This window comes from Homo sapiens, chromosome 6 (assembly GCF_000001405.40).
Source record: "Homo sapiens chromosome 6, GRCh38.p14 Primary Assembly".
NCBI lineage: Eukaryota > Metazoa > Chordata > Mammalia > Primates > Hominidae > Homo > Homo sapiens.
The window spans coordinates 166,063,872-166,071,335 of NC_000006.12; the positions used below are offsets into that span (position 1 = coordinate 166,063,872).

At 41.7% G+C, this 7,464-nt stretch overlaps 1 pseudogene; it reads left to right on the top strand.

Annotated features, from left to right (window-relative positions):
• GAPDHP72 (glyceraldehyde-3-phosphate dehydrogenase pseudogene 72) lies at positions 349-1,631 on the top strand (annotated as a pseudogene).

The window sequence follows — 7,464 nt, forward strand, 5'->3', positions numbered from 1 at the left end:
ATATATTGTTCCAATGGATTATTTATCTGCTCTTGGTAAAATACAAATTCTTTAAAATCTTAACACTATAATATGTCTTCATAGACTGGTAGGGCAGGTCACATCTATTTGTGCTTCTATTTCAAATTGTACTTACTTTTATGTGGACCTGTAAGCTTTCATATAAATATTATGGTAACATATTTTCCTTCCTCAAAAAAATTCAACTGGAATTTTTATTGAAATTGCCTTGAATTCGTACTTTGATTTGGGGAAAACCAGCATCTTCATAATACAAATATGTCCCACCTGAGAGCATGGGTTGTCTCTCCATTGAACTTTCTGTGTCACTCATTAATTTTTTTTTCGGCTCTTTCCTCCTCCGATTCAGCAGACAGCCGCATCTTCTCTCACATCGCCAGCCACATCCCTGAGACACCATGGTGAAGGTGAAGGTCAGGGTCAGTGGATTTGGTCGTATTGGGCGCCTGGTCAGCAGGGCTATTTTAACTCTGGTAAAGTGGATATTATCACCATCAGTGACCCCTTCATTGATCTCAAGTACATGGTCTACATGTTCCTGTATGATTCCACCCATGGCAAATTCCATGGCACCATCAAGGCTGAGAACGGGAAACTTGTCATCAATGGAAATCCCATCACCATCTTCCAGGAGCGAGATCCCTCCAAAATCAAATGGGGCACTGCTGGTGCTGAGTACATCGTGGAGCCCACCGGCACCTTTACCACCATGGAGAAGACTGGGGCTCACTTGCAGGGAGGAGCCAAAAGGGTCATCATCTCTGCCCCCTCTGCTGATGCCTCCGTGTTCATAATGGGTGTGAACAATGAGAAGTATGACAACAGCCTCAAGATCATCAGCAATGCCTCCTGTACCACCAACTGCTTAGCGCCCCGGGCCAAGGTCCTCCATGACAACTTTGGTATCGTGAAAGGACTCATGACCACAGTCCATGCCATCACCGCCACCCAGAAGACTGTGGATGGCCCCTCCAGGAAACTGTGGCATGACGGTGGTGGGACTCTCCAGAACATCATCCCTGCCTCTACTGGCACTGCCAAGGCTGTGGGCAAGGTCATCCCTGAGCTGAACGGGAAGCTCACTGGCATGGCCTTCTGTGTCCCCACTGCCAATGTGTCAGTCGTGGACCTGATCTACCATCTGGAAAAACCTACCAAATATCATGGCATCAAGAAGGTGGTGAAGGAGGCATCAGAGGGCTCCCTCTAGGGCATCCTGGGCTACAACACCGAGCACCAGGTTGTCTCCTTCGACTTCAACAGCGACATCCATTCTTCCACCTTTGATGTTGGGGCTGGCATTGCCCTCAACAACCACTGTGTCAAGCTCATTTCCTGGTATGAGAATGAATTTGGCTACAGCAACAGGGTGGTGGACGTCATGGCCCACAAGTCCTCCAAGGAGTAAGACCCCTGAACCACCAGCCCCAGTGACAGCACAAGAGGAAAAGAGAGGCCCTCACTGCTGGGGAGTCCCTGCCACACTCAGTCCCCTGCCACAATGAGAATCTCCCCTCCTCACAGTTTCCATGCAGACCCCCTGAAGAGGGAGTGGCCTAGGGAGCCCCACCTTGTCTTGTACCATCAACAAAGTCCCCTGTGCTCAGCCAAAAAAATAAATACATAAAATTTTTTTCTATAAAGTTTCTATGGATTAATGATCAATTCTTAAATATTCTAGTTTTGACTGGAATTTGGAATAATATTTTATTATTATTCCTAGTTTGTATTGTCAGTGTAGAAGATATCAAGATTTCTTAAGTTGTTCTTATCTAAAAATTTTGTTCAATTCTCTTACTAGTTCTAATAGTTGGAAGCTTTTTTGGACAGATGATTATATTATCTGCAAATAATAACAGTTTTATCTCCTTTCAAGTCTTACCTCTCCTACTTATTCTTTTTTCCTTATAGAATTGGTCACAAGCTTACAGACAAATGTTAATTAATAGGAGTGATGATGGGCATCTTTACATCATTTACAATTTCAGAGAAAATATTAAAAATGCCCCTAATCTGTGTAACGTTTAACATCACTTTTAGAGTAGACAACTTTAACAAGTTGAAGAAGTTCCTTTCTATTTCCAGTTAACAAGTTTTATTATACATATGTGTTGAATTGATCAAGAAGTTTTTCTGCATCAATTCAGATAATCCTGCATTTTACACTCTACTTAGCTGATATAATAAATTCTGTTGATATATTTATGATGGTGTATCATCTTGCATTCATGAGTCTTATTTAATTATTGTGTCTTTTTATCATACAGTTGGATTTTCTTAACTATATCTTGTTTAAGATATTTACATCTGTGTTCAAAATGAACTATGCCTATAATTGTTGGGGTGGATTGACCTTATCTATTTATAGAATGAAAAGTGGGAACAGGCACAGTGGCTCACACCTGTAATCCTAGTACTTTGGGAGGCAGAGGCGGGCGAATTGCTTGAGTCCAGGAGTTTGAGACCAACCTGGGCAACATAGTGAGACCCTATCTCTACAAAAAAATACAAAAATTAGCCAGGCATAGTGTGCCTGTTGTTCCAGCTACTCAGGAGGATGAGAGATAGAAGGATCACTTGAACTTGGAAGGTCGAGGTTGCCGTGACCTCTGATCATATCACTGCACTCCAGCCTAGGTGACAGAATAAAACCCTGTCTCAAAAGAAAAAGTGCAGGTTTTGGTCTTTTTTTAATAACTTATATAAAGCAGGAATTAATTATTTCTTAAAAGTTTAGTAGAACTTATTAATAAAACCTTCTGAGCCTTAGAGCCTTAGTGAGGAGAAAGATATTTTTAGTATTATATTTATATGGATGTACTGGGTGCCAATTAAAAGTATGGTTGAAACAATTTCAAAGACCCTGGTTAAGGGAGTCAATAAAGCACTTAATTTGGGCATAACTTGTTTTTAGGGTTCTATTTCTCTTCTACTACTCACTTCCCACCCTCTTCTTCATATTCCCGGAATGAGTCACACTGCCTGGTACATAGTAGATGTTTTCTGGTTGAACCGATTAAATTTGGGTACCCATTATCATTCACCTCCTTCCTGGCCCGGAAGCCTAAGGGAGACCTACCTGCTTCTTCTCATTCTAAATAGATGCCAATTATTCTACGCAATACAAATTGTCCTTTAGCACCTTAAACTTCAAGTATTAGAAATAGGCTATTGTAACAATGTTAGTGAGTCCACCACGGCCACGGCCCATGGGAAATTTTTTAGCCAGTTCTGTCTATCCCACCTTGGCCAGGGGATGGAACTTTGCCTTTGGGCCCCCATGTCTTCACAAGCTGCCTAAGTGCCAGCCTCTGCCCAAGGGTCTTACCTACAGGTATCCCATCTATGGAGGGCAAGGAGTCCCCAGGTGATGTGGGGTTGGGCCACCCACACTCAGGCCACTGAACCACTCGCTGGTCATTGGGAACAGAAATCCTGTAAATCAAGAACACAGCTCCCTCTTTCTCTTTGTGGCTCATTTCTCAACCTTATATCTGTTGTTTTTGTTTTTTCTTCCCCTCATATCAGGATGACTTAATCTTTGAGGCCAAAAACCTGCTCAGCAACCAAGTTTCTGAGTCTTGACAACTCACACTGGGGTTAAAGAGTCTTTGGGACTTTGTTTTCAGTTTGATGTTGGCTAGAGGGGCTTATTAGGTACCAACAAATGAGAAAAAAGGAAGAAGAAAACAGAAAACAGAGAGGCTAATACTTGAGAGATATAGGCCTGCCACACATCCACATTCACATGTACCCACATACTCAGGGGTTACCCTCCTGCTAAGTCAATGGACAACCAAATGCTCTGTCTATGTGATAGCCCTGCTCAGTCTATGGGATAGCCCTGCTCTGTCTATGTGATAGCCCTGCTCAGTCTATGGGATAGCCCTGCTCTGTGGAACAGCCATTTTGCCGTACACTGTTGCTCTGACAAACTTTCTTTTACTGCCAGCTTGCTCTTAAATTCTTTTCTAAGTGAAGCCAAGCACCCACCCAGGCTAAGCCCCAGTTTTGGTGTTCACCTGCCTTGCATCAGTACTGCTGGGCTTGCCACTTGTACCTATGGACACGTAGCAGGACTCCACTGGACCACAAAATGCAATGTCTACCTGCTTTGGAGCCTGACAACTAATAAATACATGTGAGGCAGAATTGAGTCTCAGCTTTTTTAAGTTATAACAGTGCACTTGGTGTCAGGTTATAGAGGTAATTCATCTCTAGCTACTGCTGATTAACAACGTTACTAACAGAACCTGAAAGCTGTTCGCTAACCCATGCTTCCTACCACCCTCCCACAACTGACCAGACCAAGGATTGGTGCCTGAACCAAAGGCAGACGACTACACAGGGGATTGGGGCCAAATTACCCAAAGTGGCCCCCACTGAAATCTTCCCCTGGGAATATAAATAGCAGAGGTACAAAGGCGGTGGGCAGGAGCAGACATAATGCAGGGAGAGGGCAAGTGGTGGGGCTCATGAGGCAGAGCACAGAGAAAGCGTTAGTGTGGAGTGGGCGGCACAGGAGCAGACATATGTCAAGGCACAATTGTGGCAAAGTCAGTGGAGGAAGCAACCTGGGTCTCTAGAGCCGCTGGGAAATAAGGCTGCGACCAGACAATCAGAGCTCCCGCTGGATCCAAAGGGGCGTCTCAGGACTTGTGGGGTGAGCAGCCAGCAGAACAGAATGTCTGGGGTCCAGACAGTGTGGTCCTGGTGGCTGCCCCACTGCCTGACTTCTGGTCCATAGGTCAAAAACATTAAGATATGCTGGTGAAGACATTTTTAAAACCTGCAAACACTGACCTGCATTGTGAAAACAAGAATGATACCAACTGGTTTGTTAGCTAATGACATAATTTTAGCAGACCTCCCTCACTTATTAAATAAGGAAGCATTCTTTCCCGGAAGCTGTTTCTGTATTTAAGCAGAACCCAACAAGGCCTAATTAGAGCTCTTATCAGGATCTTCATATGGATGCTGCATGAAATAAGAGTCAAATGGGAGAAAGCTTTAAATATCAAGGTTTTGAAAACAGGAGAGATTGGAGAACATGATGATGCATTAAATCAATTGTTGCGCAAACACGTATTGGCTGCCCCTATATGAAGGGCATTCTGGGTGATAAAAGCAGTGCACCATGGTCTCTTTTCTCAAACAGCTAAAAATGCAGTAGAGCTGACAACCTTCTACAAAATTTCCATGATGAAAAGTAGTGTGGAATATAATAGAGGCATGAACAAAATATTTAAATGTGGCTAGTCATGTGAATATTTTTATATAAATCTGCCTTTATTTAAAAAAAAAGTCCTTTCCTAAGCTCCTTATAATTCACCTTTCTGTCTTGTTTTAATGAGAATTGCTGCTATTGAAACTTTTGATCGACCAAGATTTCAGAGGGGCTGTTGGCTTTTCCTTTGTCTTTACCACCCATTAGCTATTTGTTGTGATCAATGAGCAGACTAAAGAAGGTTCAAACTAAAGTTTTATTATTAACGTGAGAGACAACATTGATATGGATGGTTTTCAGCATAAATACTTATCTTACTAGTATGTACTAGGTAACTGATATACACATGAGGAGTGCCTAATAGGGTCTGGCTCTGTGTTGCCACCCAAATCTCATCTTGAATGGTAATCTGAATTGTAATCCCCACTTGTTGGGGGAGGGATCTGCAGGAGGTGATTAGATAGATCATGGGGGTGGTTCCCCCATGCTTTTCTCATGATAGTGAGTGAGTTCTCATGAGATCTGATGATTTCATAAGGGGCTTTCCCCACCTTTGGTTGGCACTTCTCTCTCCTGCCACCATGTGAAGAAGGACATGTTTGCTTCCCCTTACACTGTGATTATAAGTTTCCTGAGATCTCCCCAGCCATGCAGGACTGTGAGTCAACTAAACCTTTTTCCTTATAAATTCTCCAGTCTTGGGCAGTTCTTTATAGCAGCGTGAGAACAGACTAATACAGTGCCTGCCCTGGGAAGAAGCCAACACAGAGGAAAATCAGACACAAATAACAGAACCAGAGATGGATTTTTTTATTTGAGCAATTGCTTCTTACGTCCAGTCATGTTACAAAAGCCAATAAACATAGATCGATCTGTACTAATTTGTATTTGTGCAGTCCTTGTACTGTAATAGTCTTAGGACTATTTCTGTTATAAAGCAAACTATTGGAAAGCTTTTCATCATATCTACTACTCTCTGAAATAATATATAGGGCACAATCATTTTCTTTACATTTTTGAAATTATTTGCATAAAACTACCTAGTATTGGTGCATTTTAAAAATTTCTTCTATGATTGATTACAAGTACAAAGACCAGGCAAGGTGTTTTCTGAAGTGGAGCACTTTTGAGGGTAAAAATGAATGCTAACCAGGTGGATGCGAAGAAAACAGATATAAAACAATATACTCCTAGACAAACCAGGGGATATTGTGGGTTTTGGCAAGAAAAGGGTTAGCCGCTGCCCTGCAACCTGTTCTTTCTCTCAGAGACCCACGGAAGATAAAGAAACATTGAAGAAACCGCCTGGTCAAATCTCCTTGTAAAGATATGAATCAGATTTCTTCATATTTACTTGTGGAAAGATAATGGAGCATCCTCAACTATAGAATGCTTTTAGCAGGCTATCCCTGGTCTACCTAGGTTACATATGGTAAGTGAGCACAGGATTTATAGATTTGTATTGCAATGGGGCCCCTGGAAAATGTTAATGTCGAATGTGTAATTATCATAGTGTAAAATGGAGATGTATTCATGATTGAAATCCTTTCTTTGTGAAAGCAATGTCCAGCATGTGACTAGAGCTTTACATGATAAATCTTGGCAATTAAGAACTTGTGATCACACTGGTGGTCTTAGTATTCTTGCGTCAACAGAGTCTTGTGATTATCTGTGCCTTTTGAATCACTAGCAAAGCTTCATAAGGGTACAATTTATGATTTTTTTATAAGTCTGATTTGACAATTTGACATAATTTTCTAATTTTCTTATTAGGGAGTTGTGCAGAATATATGCTTATAATTTTTCCAATCTCTTCTCTACCTTTGCTTATATAGCCATCCCTAATCCTAACATAATGTATTTGAGTCTTTCTTATTTCCTTGATTGTCTTTGCCTTTAGAATTCTGCCTGCCACAGTTGCATACATAATGACACAGATGTAATGCCATTTTACCCATAAATACTTCAGTGTGCATTTTCTAAAAGCAAGTATATTATCTTATGTAACCACAGTCCAATTATTAAAATCAAGAACTAACCTTGATAGAGTACTGGTATCTAATCAACAGACCTTTTCCAAATGTTGCCAGGTGTTCCACTAACTCTCTCTATAGGGAAACTAACAACAGGCAGGCTTCCAGTCCAGGCTGCAGACCAGGATCTCATGCTGTGCTTGGCTGTCTTGTTTCTTCAGCCTCCATTAATTGGAAACATCT